We start from the raw sequence: 23,542 nt of genomic DNA on the forward strand, positions 1-23,542 counted from the left end.
TGGCGGTTCCTTAGCCCATTAATGATTAATCAGCAGGAATTAACCTGGATTAACTCTGGAACACTCAGTCATTTTCCAGCAGTGAGACCCGGCTTCAAATGAAAGTCAAGAATCCCAGCTTCTGGCTGGCAATTGCTACCAATGAGTCCTACTTGACCAGGGCTGGGCCATCTAACCTTTCTGAACATGGGTATACTCCTTTAGGACAATCACTCCTTCCTCTGGGTTTCAGGGAGGAAATTCATTCGTTCATTCATTCATTCATTCATTCACCGGTGTTTGTGGAGTGCCCGGTATACAGTGCTAAGCTGGGCAAGCAGCCTAGAATGACACATAGGTCCAGTGAAGACCCAGCTGCCCTCAAGGGCCTGTCCAGGGACAGGGACCTCCTTTATCCTGTTCACTGTTTATCTTTTTCCGGAAGCAGATCCTGGCAGTAGGGTTTGTTCAATCATTCATTTGGGGGATAATCATAAGAAACATTGGTGGAGAAGTGGGATGAGCAGGAGCCAATAAGGGGACCAACATCAAGCCTGTGACTGGTGTGGGCACACAGGGCTCGGCGTCTCTGGGGATGCTGTGAAACTGTAGAACACACCCCAGAGACGTCCCAGCTGAGGGGTGAGGACCTGGTTATTTATCCAGCCACTCCCAGTCCTCATTGGTTAACAGCTTCTTCTGGGGGGACTTTAACCCCCGCCCCCATCAAGCTGGAGAAAGCCTTGCAGCAAGAAGCCCTTGGCAGAATGGTGAGTGCCTGGAGGCATGTCGGGGGCCACAGCAGTGTCTCCCACACTGTGAACCATAGTCCGACACAGCACCTGCACAGAATAGAGGCTTGTGAATATACGTGTTCTGTAAATATTGTCCCATGAGCGATAACATTACAAAGTCCTTAGGAGTGAGGAGTGTTTACAGAAAAGGGGCTCCCTGTTTGTTCCCTTACATAACTTAACATTTGATTTGGCCTCAACACAACATTTGTTTCGGGATGGAAGAGCAGCCCTGTCTGAGCCTTTGCATTTCCTCTGTCCTTGCCCCTCATCTGCCAACAGCCAGCCCCAATGTGCTGTGAAGACTTCCAGCCTCATCATCCTCATGCCCTTTGGGCAAAGAAATCAGTCCCGCTGCACCAGGCTCTGTCAGGGCAGATCTGCACACCCTCAGGGTGGCCCGACTTTGACAGCCACTGCTGTGCCTGTGGACACCCATCTTTAACCCCCTGCAGCCTCGTCAGCTCTCCCAAGGCGTATCTGGGAAAAACCAGATCCATCCCTAGGACTAGATGGACAAGGGTTGCCTGTGGTGGGAGTGAGAGGCATCCCCCCAGGCTCAAGTCTTCTGCTAAATCATGCAGCCCTCCAGCAGCACGAGAAAGCCCATCCCACAGTCCAGCCTCCAGGCTGGGGCTCTCAGATGGGAACAGGTCATTTCAACACAAAGTCAGCAGTCTGGGAGCCCCCAGCCGGGGGAGTTACCCCACCCTGAGGGGAGCAGAGGCTGACAGCAGAGGTGTGAAGAAGTGGGAGGTAGCCAGGCCAAAAAGGGCACACTGGCGAGGAATAGCATGGGCAAAGTAAGGCATGATGTTAGCCAGGTGTGGTGGTGTGCCCATGCAGCTCCAGCTAGCCCCAGGACTGCTTGAGCCCAAGAGTTCCAGGTTGGAAGAAAGAAGAAGAAGAAGAAGAAGGAGAAGGAGAAGGAGAAGGGGAAGGGGAAGGGGAAGGGGAAGAAGAAGAAGACAGAGAAAGAGAAGGAGGAGAGGGGGAGGTGGAGGGAGAGGATGATCTGAGATCACATCATCTCAGTTTATCTGTTGAACAACTCAGTTGTTGGCAAAGCCTGAAGGGCGAGGGAGAGGCTGGGAAGAGCTGGTTCTACACAGGTGATCATAAGGGAAACAGGGAACTTCCCTGGGGTGGTGCAGATGTTTCATATCTTGATTATAGTGATGGCTGTGGTAAAACTCATAGGATTGTACACTCTTAAAAAGAGTACATTTGGCTTGGAAGCAAATTATGCTTCAATCAACCTGACTCAAAAAAAGGATGTATTTGGTTTTAGTTGTGTATTAAAAACAAAGCATTATTATTAGAAAAAAATTAAACATACAAGAATAATTACCTAATATGGTCCATTAACTCATGACAATAAATTGCAAATATTATCCGAAAGACTAGACAGGAAGATGGGAATATATTATATCTCACAGTTTAAAAAGAGATTTTGCTTTGTCAAACAACTATGAAAGGATGATAAATGACAAGTACAATAAAATATCATGTGAAAATAAAAGCCACTGTGATAATAGAGAACATGTTTAGGTTTCTTGTGCCAGGTACCATTTGAGACACGCTACAAATACGTAAAGTTATTTAACCCTCAGTACAACCCTATAAGGGAGGTAGAGTTATTATTTCCATTTTAGAGATGAGGAAACCGAGGCACAGAGAGAGCAAGGAACCTGCCCATGTCACAGGGCTCGTCGGAGGAGTTACATTGGTCCCCAAGGCTCATGGCAATAACTCTTGCATTCAGCGCCAGGTCGTGGAAGGTGTGCTGTGCCTATAGAAGGGGCAAGATTTGAGCCTAATCCTTTGAGAGTAGCAACTCAAGGAAGGGTTTGTGATTGATGACAGCTGTGATGACTCCTTTGACGTTCTATATTTTGGGTGGATGCTAGGTTTGGGGCCCACAGGGTTATAAGACCCACAATAGCTCAGGTGAGAGGTGACAAGGGCTGGAATGGGGCAGTGGCAGGGGTAGGAGGTGCAAGGTCCTTCAGGAGGGGTATTAGGACATGAAGTAGTAGCAAGTGAGGCTTAGAGACCAGCAGGAGTGAAGGAGAGAGGGGTTACCCATGAGCCCTGTTTCTGGCCTGAGTGATAGGGAGCATGGTGGTGTCACTGCTGGGGCAAGGCACACAAAAGAATGAACAGATTGGGGACAGAAGCTGGGGGAAATGTTGTATTGTATTTTGACATGTTGGATTTCAGGAGCCTAAGGCAAGTCCAGGTGGAGACAATGTTTCCGTAGGTCTGAGGCTCAGGGGTTGTTGTCAGGGTCAGTGATGCAATTAGGAAACCTAAGCATACCCTTGGAGGTTCAGACCCAAGGACAGCAATGACTATAACCAGTGGATAGGGTGGGAGTTGCATGTGGATGGGAACAGGAGAAAATGCTTGAGTCCTGAACAGAGAAAGGAAAAAACCCACAAAAGAGTATGTATCAATCAGCTTTTGCTATGTAACAAACCACTCCCAAACTCAGTGGCTTAAAACAAGTATGGTTTCTTATCAGAGCTCACACATCTGTGGGTCAGCTGAGGCTTGGCTGATCTTGGTTGGCTCACTCATAGGTCTCTGGGTGGCCTGAGAGCTCACCTCCAGCCTGGGCTTGGCTGGGGCACCTTACAAGCTCTGCTGCACCTGGCTCACCCCCTCTTCCTGTGATCAGCAAGCTATAAGGGGCATTCCCTTCTCACGGTGATGGTTGAAGGAAAAGAAAATAAGCAGAAATACATATACAAGGTGTATTGGATAGGTGAGCCCAGATTCAAGGGGCGGGGAAATACAGGGAAGGGTAAAGCAATGGCACCAGTGATGCAATCAACTACTGAGTCCAAGAAGGAGAGATGGAAAAGGTAAATCAGGTGAGGATGGCCTCAGCAAGGGAAGAGAGTTTCAAGAATTGGGGATGGTAAGCACTGTTAAATGTAGCCTAAAAATCCAGCAAGATGAAGACCGGGGCACATGGCAACTCAGGAGTCACCAGGGACCTTGGGGAAACAGCTTTAGAGGAGGGGTATTTGGTAAGGACACCACCAGATCGTGGAGGGCTAAGAAATGAATGGGAGTGGAGAAGGTAGAAGGAATGTACATCCATTCATCCGACAGATGAATCCAGCTGAGGACCCACTAAGTGTCAGTCACTGTTCTAGGTGCTGGGGAGAGAGCCACGAACAAAGGAAGGGTCTTCTCTCACGGAGCTCACATTCTAGTGGGAAGAGAGATAGTAGACAAAGCAACCAATAAATAAGTAAGAAGAATTGAAGTGGTGCAATGGGCTACAAGGAAATGAGAATGGGCTCAGGTGATGGAGAGGGATGGGGATTTGGAGAGGGGGAGCGCAGTGGATGTGAAGAAGATGGACAGAGAAAGCCTCTCTGAGGAGGTGATGGTTGACCTGAGACTTAAATGACGAAAAGAAGCTGATCTTGTCTTGGGAAAAGGAAGGGTAAGTGCAAAAATCCTGGGTCAGGGAGGATCTTCGCAGCTGGTTCAGGGAACAGAAAGAAGGTTGTGTGGCTGGAGCTCATGGGCAAATGGAAGGGAGAGAAAGGAAGGGGGTCTGCAGGCAGGAAGGTCCCAGACCACGGAGGCCTGAGGATACCATGGGAAGCTGAGGTTGGGTGGGAGATTTAAGCAGAAGAATGATGCAATCTGATGTGCATTTTCAAAGATCACTTTAGCAGCAATGTGCAGGATAGATTGGACAGTGTAATGGAGGATTCAGGACTCAAATTAGGAGACTGTTCCGAGATTCCAGGCAAGACATGGTGGATGATGTGCTGGTAAATATTTAACAACTGGCTCTCAGGTGCAGATGGGGATGGGGGCACTCCCTGATTTACAGCATCTGCCAATTTCTGTGGTGTAAATATTCCCATCAGAGCCAATTGATTTCAAGCTATGGAGTCATTGAAGGCAAAGATGGGAAGAAATTTGCAGTAGCACACCACTGTCTACTATTTCTACCATAAAAATATGAGAGACACAAATCATTCCAAGAGTATAGATAGTAGTACAATGTACTAATTAGGAAGTGATGGTTTTGAGTATTTATTACCTTTGTTTTTAATATGATCTATTTCATTTTAAGTTTATATAATTTAATTTTTAATAATGACCATGTTTAACCAACTGCTGGAAAAATTCCTAAAAATGTAACAATCAGCTGTCATAAGCAGGCTGGCTCTACCATACCACTAGATACAATAGTCATGTGGATCAGAGTGGAGTGTGTGTGTGTGTGTATCTGTGTGTGTGTGTGTGCATGTGCACATGCATGCCTGAGTGCATGGGAAAGAGAGAGAGAGAGACCCAGCAGGATTTTTAAATGTTAGAAAAATGAGATGTGCATGTTCATGTTGGCATTTCTGCACCCATATCATCTCCCTGTCTGAACTGTGGATTCATTAGGGTCAGTGGCTCTACCCAATGTTTAATTATGAACACCTAGTCCAATGCCTTTGTCCTGGTAAGAATTCTCCCTACCTGGGTTAGATCTCCCCAGAAGCAGACCCTGAGAAAAAGTGTTGGAGTGAAAGCAGTTGGAAGGTGATCCCAGGAATTACCAGTAGAGAAGTGGGGAAGTAAGACAGGGAATGTAAGGAAGTCAGTGAACAGTGCATCAACAGCAAGTTACCACTGTGAACAGCTGACGTGTAATACCATTGAGGAACTCTCTTGCTTCCAAACTGAGAAGCAAGGAAGCAGAGTACTTATTCACCAATTCCTATTCATCACTGGTTGAAGGCTGCTCCTGGAGGCATTAGCTCTCTGGTATTTCCAGCCCACACCTCAGAGAAAGCACTTAGGAAGAAGGTTGCTGGTGTTTGCAATCACAGGCTGTTGATATGCACAGGAATGGCAGAGGGGATGTGGGCAAGGTGCCAACAGTGTCTGCTCCAAAACTCATAAATATTTATTTAATGAATGAACAAATGAATAAATGAGTGTAGGACCGTTTGAGCTTCTTTAAACACTGACTTAGAGTTTTAAAACAGAATAGAGGCTGGGCACAGTGACTCACGCCTGTAATCCCAGCACTTTGGGAGGCCAAGGTGGGGGGATCACCTGAGGTTAGGAGCTCGAGACCGGCCTGGCCAACATGGTGAAACCCCCTCTCTACTAAAAATAAAGAAAATTAGCTAGGCATTGTGGTGGGCGCCTGTAATCTCAGCTACTCAGGAGGCTGAGGCAGGAGAATAACTTGAACTTGGGAGGTAGAGGTTGCAGTGATCTGAGATTGCACCATTGTACTCCAGCCTGAGTAACAGAGTGAGACTCTGTCTAAAAAAAACCAAAAAGCAAAAAACAGAATGGAGAGCCTTCCATTGCATAGTCAGCACATGTATCACGCACTTTTGCAAAATTTAAATCAGAGGACCTATGTGATATCCCAGACAATTAAAATTCTGCAATAGTTTTACTCAAAACCAGAGCAATGTTGTTACACAACAAAAATCTCTATAGACTATAGTAATTGTCAAAACAAAAATAAAATATACACAAAGGAAATAGATGTAAGTGTGAACCCAAGTTGCCAATTTTTGTGGCTGCAAGTGGTAGTAAAAGAGAACTTGGGAGAAGAATATTTGGTTTGTTCTGTGCGTAATGTTAGAAGTGAGCTTACAGATAGGAGTTTTTGCAAAAAATGACAATGATTGACTTAGTGGCTGGTGGTGAGTCCCCAGAGAAAACAAGAAAAACCAAAATAATAGGTGAATGATATTTATCTGACACTTTTCTGTTTGTAAAGTGCTTTGTAATAATTGTTACTATAACCATTATTATTATTATCCTCAGTTCACAGGTGAGGAGCTGACGTTTAGAGAAGTACAGTTGCTTGCTGAAGCCTTCACATTTACAGATAACAAAGTTAAATAAGCCCTGAACACTCCAGAAATGGCACCTTTGTAGGATACATCTCTCTGCCTCTCCCACAGAAATGCCAATGGAGAAATGAGCAGGTATAACAGACCCTACGTGAGTTAATGAAACCTTTCTCCTTTCTATTGTCCTTGCAGGACTCCATGCATCTTCCCTTCAGTGCAGTCATTGGATAGTAGCAAGCACTTAGTAAGCTGTCAAAAATGTTTTAATTGAACCAATGACACTGTCTAGCTGTGCTGTCCAGCTATGGTGTCTTAAGAATCCTGGATTCACAACTCCCTATCTCAGATGGGAAGTACCAGTCAGAAGAAACATTTCATGGCCCTGAGGTGTGCCTGGCATGACTAGGTGCCTCACATTGGACATCTTGGGATAAAATCCAAGGTTCACTGAGTTGGAAGGCACAATAGGGCTTCGTCTATCCATCCCTGAGCAGAAGGCATTCTTAACTAGTCCAGCTAGTTAGACAACTTGGCTCTTCTCTAAGATTACCAGAGATGAAGAGCTCAGGACTTTGACGTGTAGTCTAGAACTTCATCTCCCATTCCTGGTTTAGTAAACTCATTCATTCAATAAATATTTATAGAGCACTGCTGCACACTACAGTCTATATGAGCTGCTAAGAATTCAGCAGAGAACAAGACAAATAGGACCCCTACCCTCAGTGGGTTGATAGTCTAGTGGTGATGGGGGATGGGGGGAGGCAATCAGTATTTCAATAGATGGTTGCTTAATTTGTGGTAAGTGCTCCAAAGTAAATTCACAGGGTGAAGTGGTATATGGAAACTGTGAAGGACCGAGTTGTCTTTTTCCCCCCTGCTTTCTCTTTCCAATCCATCCTGCTCACATTTAGGAAACTTAACATTCCAAAACCACTACTTCTATCTTTTCTTGTCTCCCCTTCAGGAGCCTAAAATTGTACCCACCATGTCAAGTCTCTGTTTCTCTGCCTGACTTTTGTGGACCTCCATATACCAGTGCCCCCTGACATTCACCAAGCTCCTCCTCTTCCCATTTGTACCCCATGTGCCTCTGCCCAAAGCACACTCCCTATAGCCTTGCATGCCATTCTTGCCCTCTCATCTTTCAAGAGCTGTCTTTGGTCATTCATCCTGTAGTTGGTGCTAAGTTTGCCAGGCACCCTCTTGTTGATAGGGGTGCAAAGTTGGATTGAACTTGGTTATTCTCTGCCCTCGAAGAGCCTATGGAGCTGATTCCTCCACAGGACTCCAGAATACATAGCTACCACTCTTTTCCTCTGCCCCACCAACTCCCTTTGGAGACCACCACAACACAACTGGGCACCCGAGTTCACTGCTAGATTCTGTACATAGCAATCCTGACTCTTCAACAAAAAAGCTTATAAAAGGCCTGAGTCATACTTGTTTTTTCCTTCTGAACTCCCTGTGATTTCAATTCTGCAATGAGTTGGTTTTAGCTTCAGGAAGTCCTTTCTTATGTCTACCTTAAATCACTTCTACATCACTGTGCGCTTATTTCTTAGAGTCTTATTCTTCATGGCTTTAGGGCAGAGCTTCGGCACTCTGCTCAATGCTGGGTCTCTGCTGAGTGTTCACAAAGTGCCTGTCACTTGATTAGTAAGTGCCTGGTACTTAAAAATCATTATTTGATTCCCTCCTCCAGGTTCTTCCCTCCAGACTTAAAAACTGCAGCTTCTTAAATCTTTCTTCCCCAGCCACTTAATCATCTTGTGACACTTCTCAAATTCGGTTAATCAGCATTTTTTCTTTATTTTTAAATGATTAGTGAGAGTTTTAAAGAAGGTCCTTAAACCAGAGGCAAAATATATATATATATAATAGTATTCAGAAAGGGTCCACCAGGGCAATTGAGTTCATCTCCCTGTCTTTGGCCCTGCAGTCCCTTCTGCCAGCTAATAGATCAGGCCAACTATCCCAGCTCAGCACAATCGTCCCAGCCTCTGATCTGAATGTGCACTGCAGAAAAACTAGATTTGGAGGGATGAGAGCATAGCCTGCAGCCCCACTTGTACTCTTCTTCAGAAAGCTACTTGTCACTGTGGTCAGAAAACTCCAGGCCAGGGCAAAATTTACTTAGGTGGTTGAATTTAGGCAACTTTTCATTCTTCCTTCCAGTGCCATTTCCTGGTGAATCTGCAGATTCTCATGAGATTTTAGGTGTTGTGTGTGTGTTTGTGTGTGTGTGTGTGTGAGAGAGACAGAGAGAGAGATTACCTCAGATAGACTAATTTGCACTAAAGTTTTACTGACTTACCATGAAATGCCTTTCAAGCATTTTTGCCATAATACCTCTAGTGTCAGACGAGAGTGAATGTGGACACCAAGGAGGGGCATGGCCTTTAAGCCATCTGTCCAAGAAGACATTGACGTTACCATTAAACACCCATATGATTTTTTTCCCTTTTTCTGAGACACAGTTTCACTGTCACCCAGCGTGGAGTGCAGCAGTGCGATCTCAGCTAACTGCAACCTCTGCTTCCTGGGTTCAAGCAATTCTTGTGCCTCAGCCTCCCGAGTAGCTGGGATTACAGGGATGCACCACCAAGCCCAGCTAACTTTTGTATTATTAGCAGAGGCGGGGTTTCACCATGTTGGCTGGGCTGGCCTCAAACTCCTAACTTCAAGTGATCACCTGCCTCAGCCTCCCAAAGTGCGGGGATTACAGGTGTGAGCCACCATGCCCGGTCCCATGTGATTTTTTATTCTTCTTCAAGCTATTTCCACATAAGCTGGTTTTCTAAAAATGGAAATAGTATCATTGTTATTTTTATGATATAAGAGTAATACATTTGAATGCATAATACAGATAATACAGGACAAGATATCAAGAATAATGTAAAAATCACCAGAAGTCCCAACCCCCGATGTCATAGTTTAATTTTTTTCCCTTCTACACTATTTTCTAAGACACATTCCTTGTTTTAATATAAAAAAAGTTTTAAATTACTTACCACTGCATAAAGAGATTCTGGCTTATCTTTGTGGTAGCATCAGGTCCAGGCCCTGGGGAATTGGCCCAGCCTGATTTCCACTTTGAAAAGCTGGCACTCAGATGTGATATCTCCAGGAACCATGGACATTTCAGAAAAGGAGGGAAGAGACAGGGCAGAAGAACTTTCTGGAAATGTACTGGATGGGCACTTTTGAGAGGAGTGGGTGCTTTCCTGCCTTTGCACAAGTCACCCACAGGCAGCGGGTGGCCATTGGCGTGGACAATGTCTTTTGCAGTGTGCTGGTGTTTCCCTGAATGACCTACCTACAAACCTAGATTAATCTTCCTTGCAGGGAGGCTTCACCCTCCCTCAGCAGAGTGCTAAACACGCCAATTTCTAAAGAAGTGTTTTCTTTCTTTCAGGCACGAAAATTAATGAGCTCCGTCTTTGGCATGGGCTAGAAAATTCCACTGTGGCATTGGCAGGGTTTATGCAGAATCAGAACTTTAAAGCAACCCTGCGCTGAATGCTGCGAGGAACAAAGGTAAGGCAGATTGGTCTGACTTCCTTGCTCACGGTGGGGAAGAGACGGCGGGGAAAGGAGGCAAGGACAAATCACCTGGCTAGGAGAGGTGTGTCCAGTGGGAGGAGGTGCTTTCCCGAATTCTGAATTCTTTTCGGAACGTGTCTCTGCAGGCAGCACAATGCCCTCCTTATTCCCGCATCTTCACACCACGGTGGCTGACTTGGAGCCTGATGGGCAGTGGCAAGCGTTCAGATCTATGGCCGACGGGCACGTCTTGGACGGATTCCTTCAGCCACTGGGGTGGGAACAAGCAGCATTTGCCTCACAGTCTCTCCTTGTTGCGATGAATTGGCAGATTGAACTGAATACATACAACGTGTGGCCTAATTGTCAATAAGTACTTGTTCGTTCATTCAGTAAATGATTTTTGAGCACCTACTGTGCTCCAGGGGCTGGACATACAGCAGTGAACAAAACCGATGCAAAGCCTCTCCACAAGGTGGTATGGGATGGGAGGTGGACAGTCAGCACAAAACCAAGACAATTTCAAGTACTCATAAAACACAGTGATGGGACAGAGTGGGAGGAGGCTATTTTGGGATGATTAGGTAAAGCCCCAAGAGACACTGGAGCTGAACTCTGAATCACCCGAGGGAACCAGCTGTTGAAGATGTGGGAGCAGAGGTCTTCTAGGTGCAGGGATCAGCATGTGCAAAGGCCCTGAGGCAGGAGGGTGTTCGACAATCTTAGGAACTGAGTGGAAGCTGGTGAGGAAGTAGTGCTCATGAGCAAGGAGTTAAGAGGTCAGAAACAAAGGTAAGCCCTGGATTTATTAATATATTGTGTGAAACATTGCATCTAACATTGTAGTGTTTTATAGTTTGCAGGGGGCTATTTTTGTTTTTTCTCTCTCTTTTTTTTTTTTTTTTTTTTTTTTTTTTTTTTATTGAGACAGGGTCTTGCTTTGTTGCCCAGGCTGGAGTGCAGTCATGCCATCACAGCTCACTGTAGCCTTGACCTCCCAGGCTCAAGTGATTCTCCTCCCTTAGACTCCCAAGTAGCTAGAAATAGAGGTTCGTGCCACCAGGCCTGGATAATTTTTTTAAAATTTTCTGTAGAGACAGGGTCTCACTTGGTTGCCCAGGTTGGTCTTGAACTCCCGGACTCAAGCAATCTTCCTGCCTCAGCCTCCCAAAGTGCTGGGCTTATAGGTGTGAGCCACCGCACCCTGCCTGCAGAGGGCTTTGAACATACACTATCCTAATTCAATCATCCCAACAAACTGATTATATAGATAAGAAAACTGAGGCTCAGGAAGTAACTTCCTTTAGGTCATAAAACGAGGAAGTAGTGGGACAGGGACTTTGACCAAGGACTCTGTTTGCAAAACTCCAGAGTTTTTATAGACCACCATAAGCACTTGCCTTTAGCAGCTTGAAATTTTTAAAAAATGAACATTTTTCATTCTGTTATTTAAAAAGTAAGGCTGGGTGTGATGGTGTAATCCCAGCACTTTGGGAGGCTGAGCCCAGAGGATTGCTTGAGCCCAGGGGTTTGAGACCAGCCTGGTCAACAAAGGGAAGACCCCATCTCTACAAACAATAATTAAAAAAAAATTAGCTGGGCATGGTGGCATGCCTGTAATTACTCGGGAGGCTGAGGCAGGAGGATTGCTTGAGCCTGGGAGGTCAAGGCTGTAGTAAGCCATGTTCACAAACCTGCACTCCAGCCTGGGGTACAGAGCAAGACCTTGTCTCAAAAAAAAAAAAAAAAAAAAAAAAGTAGAGTCGCATAGGTAAAATTTTGGTAAATTTAAGAAGATACAAAAATTACCTATAATCTCATCTGTGAAACATAACAACTAGCACATTTTAGTGTATTCTTTCCAGTTTCTTCCCCTAGAAAAACCTAGGGTGTGTGTGTGTGTGTGTGTATTACACATTACATATGCACACACCACACATACATATATGTGTATATAGTCACCTTTATTGAGGTGTAATTTACATGCTCTAAAATTCACACATTAAGTGTACAAGTTGATGAATTTTGACAAATGTATACACCCGAGTAATCATCGCCATGATAGAGATCTGGAATATTCCCTTCATCCCATGGAGTTACCTGTGCCATTTAACCTGTTCCCCCATCCCCCACTCCAGGCAATCATTGACCTTATCTCTGTAGCCTCAGATCAGTTTTGTCTATTCCAGGACTTCATATAACAGGAACCATGTGTGTACTCTTCTATGTCTGGCCTCTGTTGCTCAGCATAATGTTTTCAAGGTTTATCATGTCATCATATATGCATCAAGAGTTTGTTCCTTTTGTTGCTGATTAATATTTCATTATAAGAATATACATTCACCTATTAATGGACATTCACCTGTTAATGGACATTTGGGTGTTTTTGGTTTGGGGCTATGATGAGTAAAGAAGTTATGACCATTCCTGCACAAATCTTTTTATGGACATGTTTTCTTTTTTCTTATTTATTGTAGAGATAGGGTCTTTCTATATTGCCCAGGCTGGTCTTGAGCTCCTGGCCTCAAATGATCCTCCTACCTTGGCCTCCCAAATTACAGAGATTACAGGCATGAACCACCACACCCAGCTTGTAGATGTGTTTTCATTTGTCTTGGGTAAATACCCAGGAGTAGAATCCTAGCTTATAGGGTAGGTCTTTATGTTTAATTTTACAGGAAACTACCAGACAATTTTCCAAAGTGGTTATATTATATTACATTATGTGAGAGTTCCAGTTGCCCCACATCTTTGTCAACACTTAGTATTGTTGCTCTTTTTAATATTAGCCATTCTGGTGGGCATGTAGAGGTTTTAATTTGCATTTACCTTATCACTAATAATGTCGAACATTTTTTCCCAGGTAAGTGTTTTTATAGTTGTAATTCTTTGTCTGGAGGCAGAACTAAAGACTGTTTGAGGCCATTTTTTGAGTCCTGGGTAATGCTGAAAATATTGATATTGTTATTGATGCAATGCTCTGGTACAGTAGGCTTCATTCTTCCTCTAGCCAAGTTGAAATGTGGAGGAAAATAACTCTGGGTGCCATGTTGCTAAAGAAATGATTTGTGTGAATGATCAGCCAAGCCGCGATTGGATCTTTTCAGTGGCAGTTCCAGAATTTCAGTACATGCCGTGTCTGATTGGAAGAATGGGAACTGGACTTGAAGAGTACTTTCTCGACATGGTGTTTTCATTTGGATTGTAGTGTGTTAGCAGGATCTCTAAGAGATCTGATGGTGATGATGATGATGGTGATGATGATGATAATGGGGAGGAGAATGTGGAAGGAGTTAGGGTGGAAACTAAGGCTCCCTGCAAAAGCTATGGCAGAGTTGGATTAATCCTACCACAGTGCAGGTGTGAGGCTGGGTGTAGCATGGTATTGAGCAGAACACCTAGGAAAGCATATTAATCCTAACAGGCCAGCAGATATCCCTAGCGAGCCTTCTCTAAACACCTGAAACTCCCCCAAAAGCATGAACAAGAGCCATATTTTATATGGTGCTAGCTCCACCTCCATATTCTTATTCCAGGAGGAATTGTCCAGGGAGATGGAAAGCAGGTGGAATTTGTGTAGCAAATCAGTCCCCTGGGGGTAGCACATTCAGGCCTCCCTGTGCAGAGGAAAAGGCCTTTGGGCCAGGTTGCCAGGCCTCCCCCTGAGCATATCAGCTCATGTGTTTCCTCAAGACATTCCTAATGATACTCCAAAGGCCAACCAGCAGAACACCTCCATCTGCCCTGAGACCTGACACTCACCGGTTCCCAGACATTCTGAATTATACCAAGCCAATTTATATAGTTTCTCCATCTAAATGTGAACTTACAAAGAACAGACATCATTTCTTATTTACAAAGTCTTAGTTTGGGTTCCCCCTGAAGCAGACCCTGAAACAAGGATTTGAGTGGAAGCAGTTTATTTGCAGTTTGATCCCAGGAAACATAGGTAGGGGAGCGGGGAAGTGAGGCAGGGGATGGGGGCAACAATGTGGGGTATGTTAGCAAGCCAGTTGCCACTGTGGGCACTGATATGGTTTGAATATTCGTCCCCTCCAAATCTCACGTTGAAAAGTGATTGCAATGTTGGAAGTGGGGCCTGGTGGGCGGTGTTTGTGTCCTGGGGGCAGATCCCTCATGAATGTCTTGGTGCTGTACTCATGATAGTGAGTTCTTGTGAGAGCTGGCTGTTTAAAAGTGTGTGGTACCCGGCCGGGTACGGTGGGTCATGCCTATAATCCCAGCACTTTGGGAGGCCAGGATGGGCGGATCATCTGAGGTCAGGAGTTTGAGACCAGCCTGGCCAAAAAAGTGAAACCCCATCTCTACTAAAAATACAAAAAAATTAGCTGGGAGTGGTGGTGGGTGCCTGTAAATCCCAGTTACTTTGGAGGTTGAGGCAGGAGAATTGCTTGAACCCGGGAGGCGGAGGTTGCAGTGAGCCGAGATCACGCCATCGCATTCCAACCTGGGCAACAAGAGTGAGACTCCATCTCAAAAATAAAAAATAATAATAAAAAAAAAAGGTGTGTGGTACCTCCCTTGCCTTGTTCCCACTCTTGCCATGTGATACACTGGCTCCCTGTTTACCTTCAGACATAATTGTCAGCTCCTTAAGGCCTCACTGGAAGCAAAGCAGGTGCTGGCACCGTGCTTCCTGAACAGCCTGCAGAACTGTGAGCCAATTAAACCTCTTTTCTGTGGAAATTACCCAGCCTCAGATATTTCTTTATAGGAAGAGAATGGCCTAGCATAGGCACCTACGGGTGGGTCCTGTGGGTCCTCTGGGACATGGAACAGGACATGACTCCAGGTTATTCCACCTGAGCAGGGAGGGAGCTGGGTTATTTATCTACCAACTGATAATAGTCATTGAATGAGGACATTCTGCAACTTGCAGCTGCCCGCTTGTAGGCAGGGTGGACTCCAGCAGCTGGCAAAAGCCCCCAAGCAAAGATACGCAGGTACTGGCAGCTGGGAGTCAGATTACCTTTGTACAATGAAGTTGTAAGGCCAAGAGGCTATGGGCAGGGCACTGACAACGTCAGTTGTGCTTCCCCAAAACGTGGCTCAGTTCTGGCAATGAATAGATCCTCAGTAAAGCGTGCTGGTTGAACCCAGAGAGCTCAGCCAGCTTTGGCCCCAAAGCTACAGCTCCTGTTTATTCTCCAGCAACCCCTGAATACTGCCATCAGCTGGCAATACTATTTCAGGATCAAACCTAAGATACCAGCACCCTTACATGTTCTTAAAGTGTGTAGTCTCAGAGCAAGCAGCCTCAACGTCATGTGGGAACGTGTAAGAAATGTGAATTATTGGGTTCTCCCCCAGACCTAATGAGTCAGAAACTTTGAGAGTGGGGCCCAGGAATCTGTATTTTAACGAGTCTTCCAGGTCATTCTAATGCAACCTACAGTTTAAGACCCACTGTTTTGGACTCTAAAATTTAGGGCCACCCAACAGTTTCCAAAGCGAAGCCGTTTGCTCTTGGTTAGAACTCCTCCATCCCCAATCCCAAGCACCAGCAGCAAAAGGGAATGGAATCTCTGGAAACATTTTATACTTTGCCCCCTTTTTTGAGTTTTTCTTTTCTTTTTAGGCTTAGTAAATATACATTGTACCAAGTTATCAATTACCAACAATGGAAAGTAGCCCAGGCATATATGCTATAGAGGATAACCTAAAAGACACCTGTGTTGAATTTAACTTGAAGGTGGGAGGATTTATATTTCTGCTTGTTTTCCTGAGCTAATATTTAAGTTACTTCTCTTTCCTTGAGTCCCTACCAGGTGGGCAGTAGGGGGAAAGTCACGGGTATACTGGTAGAAGAAAAAGCTGCCCTGGAATTTCAAGTCCATCACAGAAGATGTGCAAGGAGCTGGGGGTACCCACGGAAGTCACTTTGTGCAGGAAAACTGCATGAAGGATGGACTTGGTTTAACTGAATTGACGCAGGCCAGGTGAGAATAGGAACCGTGGCAGCAAGTGGCAGCAGGTGGATTCATAAGCAGTCTTCCAGGCTGATGTTTTCTGTACAGCAGACATCCCTCACTCTTTCCCAGCAACCCCAGCTGAGAACAGCACCCAGACAGGCTGATTTCTTCTGGAGAGGCCTGAGGCTCTTGCTCCTGCCCTGCCCTGTGCCCTGATGCCAGCAGCCACTGCAGCCCTTTTTGTGCTCACCCCCGACCTGTGGTGTGACATCACAATGTAGTCCATTCAGGATCTTGAGACTGATTTGCCCCATGGGCCTAAGACATAAGCTGAACCTCTGGCCTGCAGTTCCAGATCCAAGGTGACTGAGACAAACTGCCAGCTGCCACTGGCTTATCAGGAGCACCTGGTGAGTATTCAGAACTTTCCCAAGCAGCATGGAAGGAGATACAGCCAACAGCTGGCTGTCTTAGCACTTTAAGGTCTCATTCTCACACAGGTTTAGATGAGCCAAACCGGTGGACAGGAGTTCACCAGGTAAGCCCCAAACTCTTCCTAGGAAAGCTGACTCACCTGATGCACACACCCCTTCCCAGCCTCTTCCTGCTGTGTCACCATCTGCGGGAGGTGGTACTCTAGTCTCCCCTAAGACTCGGCTTGCCACCTGCACCAGCTCCCTGGGCAAAGGTCACCTGTGTTCTTAATAGAGCAGAGAGGCCAGGCTTTCAGATGGCAAATTCACTAGAGCATCACTTCTAGCCCTAATTGAGGTCAGGGACAGCCATTGGCCAAATGACACACCACATAGCAGGATGAGCAGAGGTAGCTGACACAGCCACCTCCCGTCCAAAATGTGAACGACGGTCCTTCCTTTCTGTAAGAGGCCTTCCTGCTTTGGCTGTTTTTAAATCCACCTCCTGGTGACCTGCTGGTATATCAAATCACTTCCTTTCCTTTTGGGACAGTAAGAGAGCTTTAGGATCGTGACGGGAAATAAGGAGATGGATTAGAACACCAGGAAAGTGGGCAAAATCTAAGGTAGCGGGGACAGGGACAGAGGCCAAAGCCATCTCTCAAAGAGGATGCTGGCTCTTTCCATATGGGCCACCTGCACTCGGCTGAGGGTGGTTTGAGACTCAAGGCCTTCTATAACAAACAGTAGGGACCCGTTCTGGGCCCCAGGAGGCACAGCTGCCTTCCCTACCATGGCCCATTCGTGTTTTCCCACAGTCTGTCTACGGTCCATTCACCATCTGTGAGTGCCAACACGTCCACACAGCTGCAGCTGCGTCCCTTCTCCCACAAAGGAGTGGCTTCTATAGGGACCCCATGATTTTAAGAAGGCTCCTGGCTCTCCTTGACTGTGTAAGGTAGAAAGGGAGGTGGTGGGGGGTGGATCAGAGAAATATTTTACCCTTAGGCTTTGCCATCCCTCCTTAGTTTTATATGTGATGGGCTGAAGCCAACCTCTGCTTCACACACAAATCCAAGACGCCAATGGTTCACCAAGCATGCTAAGAACATTTTAGCCTATGTTAGGCCCCACTGGAAAAGGAAAAAAGACAGTAGAGGGGCCGGCGCTAGAGCAACCTGTGGTCCCCGTCCTGCAGCAGGTTTAATTTGGAGAGGAGAAAGGGAGCAAACGCTGAACCTCCCGTGCCAGACCCACCAGCTATGTTATTGCTCTTAATTCCGACCTCTGTGAAGCAGGTGTTCTCAGGTTCATTCTACAGACATAGAAACTGAAGACTGTTCTGTGCTGGTGCCACGTCTAAAGAGGGTCATTAACCTGGAGCATGCCTTCACTCTCTATCGACTATCCCCAACATTAGAGCTCTCTGAAAAGAGAATGGGCTGCTTTGCAAGGCAGCAAGAGTGTGCAGGCCACGGCTCTTCCATCAGCATGGAAGGGAACGGGATTCTTGTGATCAGCTGGGAGCTGGACCAAAAGACCTTTAAAGGCTGTTTCCAAATCCAAGATTGTAGGTTTCTGGGTGTTAGTACTTTGCCCACCCTCTGCGATTGAACTCAGGTGGGTCACGCCTTAAGGACGGCTGCAAACTTTCTGTTAGGCAAGGAGAACTGGGAAGAACCATAGAGATCAGCTACGGGCCCCAGGTAGGAAAGAGGAACCCAGGCTGGTTGAGGGAGTTTTCCAAGGCTCCAGAGCCAATTTGCAGAGTTAACCTGTGTTGACTGAACAAATGGAGGAGCCAGTTCTGAGTGCTGATCAAACGTTCCCATGCCCATCTCTCTCATTCACCTGGTTCTTTCCTATCAAGATTATGATTCAGCCACCATTTACAAAATGCCTGCTGCATGCCAAGTGTGTTTCCAGAGATTATTCCACCTACTCCTCCCCAGCTCCATGAGGTGGGTGTCATCAGCCCCGTTTCTCAGATGAGCATGGTTAGGTAACCACCCCAGAGGATCAGGTACTTGTGGAGATGTCATAAATACTAAATGACGAAGCAGGTCTTTCTAACCCCAAGGAAAACTTATGTCTCCATCTGCCGCCTCCCAGCTTGTGTGAGGAAGCAGGGTCTCCTTTCTTAGCCTTTCCCTAAGGCAAACTGCCATCGATGTGCCAAGTTCCACAGTGCCTATTTCCAGCTCCTCTTGGACGTTGCCCTGATGGATGCTGAACTCCCTGTGGGCCCGCCTGTTTCACTGGCCCGGCCCCTCACTCTGATGGGGCAAGATGGAGCGATGTCTATACACGGACAGATGTTATGCACCAAGGAAGAAAATCTGCTAATCGAAAGCAGCTTCAGCTAATTGTGGCACTCTCCCTTCTGCGTGGTGCCCTGAAATAGTAGCCATGCTCTGTTCTTTTTTCACATCAGGGAGCCCCAACTGGCAACTTAAATGAGGTTGCAAAGAAGTCAGTTACACAGACCTCTGCTGCCAGTTTCCATGGATGAGGCCTTGCTGATGCTCCTTGGATAGGACCCGTGTGCAACTGTTTGTGGACTTGGCTTCTTGCTGTGGATAATTTGGACCCACTGTTGGGCTGGAAAAGCCTCATTTAACCCTGGGGAAAACTGGAACCTTCAGAAATTTAATGGAATACTAAGCCCAAGAACACATGGTCTGACCTTGAACCCTGGTTCTGATCTGCTTCTGAGTTATTCTATAGCCATCTCAGCCAACAGAACCGTCACGGGAATATTCTGTCTCTGTGTTGTCTCATATGATAGCCACTAGGCACACAGGGCCACTGGGCACTTGGGATGTGGCCAGTGGGACTGAGGAGCTGCGCTTGTTGTTTAAATGGAAGCTTAGATTACATAGCCATCGGTGGCTGGTGGCGGTGTGCTAGACGCTGCTGCTCTGGGCCCTGCTGACTTTTGTGACTTCATCTCTGATCTCATTCCCCTCTCCTGGCTTTCCCTTTCCCTCTGCCTTCACTCCCAGACCTCCTGTGCTTTTTGATTTTTGCATTTGCTGTTCTCTCTGCCGGCATCACTTTTTCCTCTGATCATTTTATGGTTTGCCCCTGTTCAACAGGAGGGCCTCAGATCAAGTGTGTGTCTTCAGAAAGATCTTCCCTATTCTACCTAATTGTGTCCCCAGCCCCATTCCAATTGCTCCTTATCTCTCTGAAGTTACGTTTGTGTGTTTTCTTGTCTACTGCCCTATCCCTGGATAAAAATCCCAGTTTCACCAGAGCAGGGATGCAGTCTGCCCTCTCCCACTCCATCTCTGTGCCTGGAACAGCGCCTGAGAGGCAGAAAGTGCTCAGTATGGTGCTTACAGTGTGTGAACATTCTGCAGGACAGCCCCCTCCTTCAGTGAGGAGGAAAGGCGGTCATGGCCCCAGTAACTTCTGCTGTGTGACAAAATAACATGAGCACAGCGGCCTAGAACAGCAAAGATTCGTATTTCTTCCAATTCTCTGGGTCTGGAATGTGAGCAGGACTCAGTTCCACATTGTGTCACTGAGGGTCACTCAGCTGGGGGCTAGGCTGGACAGGGTGGCCCAAGAAGGCCTCACTCACACAGCTGGGACTTTTGGGCTCTCCAAGAAACATCTCTATGCGGTTTGTCTGGGTTTTCTTACAGCATGGAGGTCTCAGGGCAAGTAGGCTGACTTTTTTTTTTTTTTTTTTTTTGACAGTGTCTTGCTCTGTTGCCCAGGCTGGAGTGCAGTGGTGTGATCTTGGCTCACTGCAACCTCCGCCTCCCAATCCTGGGTTCAAGCGATTCTCCTGCCTCAGCCTCCTGAGTAGCTGGGATTGCAGGTGCCTGCCACAATGCCCAGCTAATTTTTGTGTTTTTAGTAGAGATGGGATTTCACCATGTTGGCCAGGCTGATCTCAAACTCCTGACCTCAGGCCTCTGCCTCGGCCTCACAAAGTGCTGGGATTACAGGTGTGAACCACTGTCCCCAGCTGGCTTCTGAGAGAGGAAGCAGAGGCTGCCAGGCCCAGAACTGGCAGCACCATTTTTATCACCTTCTACCGGGCTAACTAAGCCATAGGGCGAGAGCCCAGATAAAAGGGGAGGGGAAACTGTCCACTTCCTGGTGGGTGGGCAGGATGTTCATACCAGCAGGAAGGGGTCTATGGACACGCTACACAGTCACTTCAACAGTGCTGTGGTAGTGCTTCTCAACTTTGATCATGCACATGGGCCATCTGGGGTCTAGTTAAGATGCAGATTTAGTAGGTCTGGAGTGGAGCCTGAGATTCTGCATTCCTAACAAACTCCAAGAGACGTCAAAGCTGCAGGCCCACAGGCTGCACGTGGAGTAGCAAGGCTGTATTAGAATGCATCCTATCAGGACTGAGCCTATGCTTAGGTTTGACATTGCAGGGCCCTCAATTCCACTTCTAGAGTGGACAGCACTTCTTTGGGTTAAGCATTACCCACTGTTGCTGAGGTCTACATGATCGGTCCCTTCTTCCCAGGCATCTGGGCTTGTGCCCACATAGGGTAACTGTCCCATCCTACCTCCCAAGCACTTCTCATGCATTGCTTTATCAGCCTTTAAGGCCTCTTCCTTCTTTAACATTTAATTATCATTGTGTCCCTTGTAAAATTGGTGGAATGGGTCTCTTTCAGTTAGGATTAGAAACTAAACTCAAACTAGTTAAAAGGCAAAGGATTGATTGGAGCACATATGGCTTCAGGACTGGCTGTATCTAGGCCCTCAAATGATGTTGTCAAGAAACTACTTGTCACCATCTCCAGTTCTGCATTGCCAGGATCGCTCTGACAGGATCCCCCACAAGTGGAAGGAGAGACGAACACTCACTTAGCAACCCCAGCAAGAAGGGGGCACCACTTCTTGCCTAATCTTTCTGGCAAAAGTGCCAGGATTCTGTCTGGCTGGCCCAGCTGAGGTCGCGTGTCCACAATGATGCAGTCACTGTGGCCAGGAGGATGTGTTACCTCATTGGCCAGGCCTGGTCATGTGTGTTGTTACCTCACTGGCCAGGCCTGGTCATGTGTGTTGTTACCTCACTGGCCAGGCCTGGTCATGTGTGTTGTTACCTCATTGGCGAGGCCTGGTCATGTGTGTCCCTGGAGCCAAGTGGGAGACTGGCCCCACCCAAGCCACATTGGATGAAAGCAGGAAGAGGTGATTCTCCATGTAAAATTGGAGAGAAGGGAGAGCAGTTAGAAAGCTAAAAAATTGTCCCAATTGATCATGAGAACAGGTGTTGAAGTCCTTGTGTGATGGCTGAGAAAACAGAGGGCGGGAGCCTCATAAATTCCAGAGGGCCCACAGCTAACCAGGCCTCCCAATCCCTAGCACAGACTCAGGGGCTGTCGAATTAAAGATCTTTAGCACCAGAAGAATCTTGAAAATTAGCCAACGCATGTTCCACAGAACACTGGTTCAAGGGAAGCTAACTGATGTTACTTAAAAGGCTGTCTGGTCTAGGAAAGGTAAAAGATAATGGGCTAGGCCAGGTCAGTAGTTCCCTAGCTTTACAGGACTTTTCAAAGCCGTAAATAGGCTGGTGTACATTGTGAATCCCTGAGAATGGGGGGAGGCCTAGGGACTATTGTTTGGAAAATTAGTAACCTAACTCTATTCCTCCCCATTTTATAGATGAAGCAACTAAGGCCAAGAAGGGAAAGTGATTTGGGCAAGGTTATGCAACTAGTTCATGCTGGGATTACCCCAGATGCTATGTTGAGGCATACTTCATGCTGTGCAGAAGCATCTCTTTGTACCTCAGGGCAGCCCTGTCCTCCTGGTTGTGTTCCTGCTGTCTGGAGTCTGTGTGTTTTCCTTTCTCCCACATATCCCTGCATAAGGGTTTGTGGGCTTCTATGGCACTGCTCCTGTGAGGGCCCATGGGCACCCAAAGTGCCCAACCCCTGCCTGGGACATGCCCCTCACTGCTGCATGCCTGAGGGAACTATTGAGAGGTGCAGAAAACCACATGGGTCTGTACTTAGGAAAACGCAGCCACCCAACTGGCAAGGTGACGGCATAGATGAGGTTGAAGGGGCTTGAAGGTTGGCCAAATCCGGAGAGTCAGCACAGACAGACACCAAGTGTGCCAGGCTGAAGGGTGAAGGTTCCTAGAGCCAAGTACACACTTTAAATCCAGGGAGAGATTGTGGGTCAGGGCTGGGGTGTGCTGACGTGAGGGTGATTGTTATAGCAACATTACCTTTGAGACCCTCATTCACCTGGGCACTTCATATGAGCTCATTCTAAGCCACTCAGTGACCCGGCTTGGGGATTATCATGACCCATATAGATCAAGAAGAAAAAAGTAGCTGTTGGTTAGTTGGCTGAACTCACAGGTATGAGCTTAACACGAAGGATTCAAGCTCTGGCTCTTCTCTTCGCCAAGTATATGATCTTGGGCATGTTACTAAACTGTCTAAGCCCCCATTTCCTCATCTGGCAAATGGGGCTCAGATATGTTCCTACATCATAGCTTTGTCGTGAGGATTAAATAAGATGTCTGTGAATTAGCAAGACACCTAGCCCATCCGTAGTAGGGGATCCTTAAGTGATGGCAGGAATGGAGAGGTAGGAACAGATCCACCAAGTAAAGGGTAAAGCCAAGATCAAACACAAATCCAGCCAGGTGTGGCTCCTTCTGCCTTTTCACTGCCACTAAGAGAGGGGTAGCATTCAATGAGCAGATGGCAGTGGCTCAGAGTGCAGATCAGTGCAAAGGTCTTTCTCGTCTTCTCTGCAAAGAAGGAGGGATGGCATATGTGTATCTTTGGTCATTTCCAGGTGACTCTATCCAAAGTCCATGCAGGCAAGTAGACGCTGTGAGCAGGATGGAATATACAGATCCAAACCTCTAGAGCAGAGCTAGGGCCAGGCATGACTTGATCAACATCTAAATGCCACCAACACCCAAGGGCCACACAGAGGGAAGAGACCGGGGACCACATCTTGGCACTTTCAGATGGGTTTGCAAGCACTGGAAATCAAAGCTTCACCAGGGATGCTTTAAAGAT

At 46.7% G+C, this 23,542-nt stretch overlaps 1 protein-coding gene and 1 long non-coding RNA gene across 7 annotated transcripts in view; one reads left to right on the top strand and one right to left on the bottom strand.

The window, feature by feature from the left end:
- Positions 1 to 10,121: 10,121 nt before the first annotated feature.
- Positions 10,122 to 23,542, top strand: part of BANF2 (BANF family member 2) — a 42,200-nt gene continuing 28,779 nt past the window's right edge. For 5 of the 6 annotated variants that reach the window (XM_005260668.4, XM_011529170.2, XM_011529171.4 and 2 more), the window contains exon 1: positions 16,416 to 16,505. Coding sequence is in view for 1 of the 6 variants with exons in the window: in NM_001159495.2 (NP_001152967.1) it covers positions 10,139 to 10,156 (18 nt within the window). In the remaining 5 variants the exon portion in view is untranslated. Of the gene's footprint in view, positions 10,157 to 16,415; positions 16,506 to 23,542 lie in introns of those variants that run through there. The other variant, NM_001159495.2, reaches the window with a different exon arrangement.
- LOC105372547 (uncharacterized) lies at positions 14,066 to 16,309 on the bottom strand. Its single transcript, XR_937294.2, has 2 exons — positions 15,949 to 16,309; positions 14,066 to 14,630 (listed from the first exon to the last, which is right to left on the bottom strand). It is a non-coding gene; the product is annotated as an uncharacterized LOC105372547 (long non-coding RNA).

This window comes from Homo sapiens, chromosome 20 (genome assembly GCF_000001405.40).
Source record: "Homo sapiens chromosome 20, GRCh38.p14 Primary Assembly".
Classification (NCBI taxonomy): domain Eukaryota; kingdom Metazoa; phylum Chordata; class Mammalia; order Primates; family Hominidae; genus Homo; species Homo sapiens.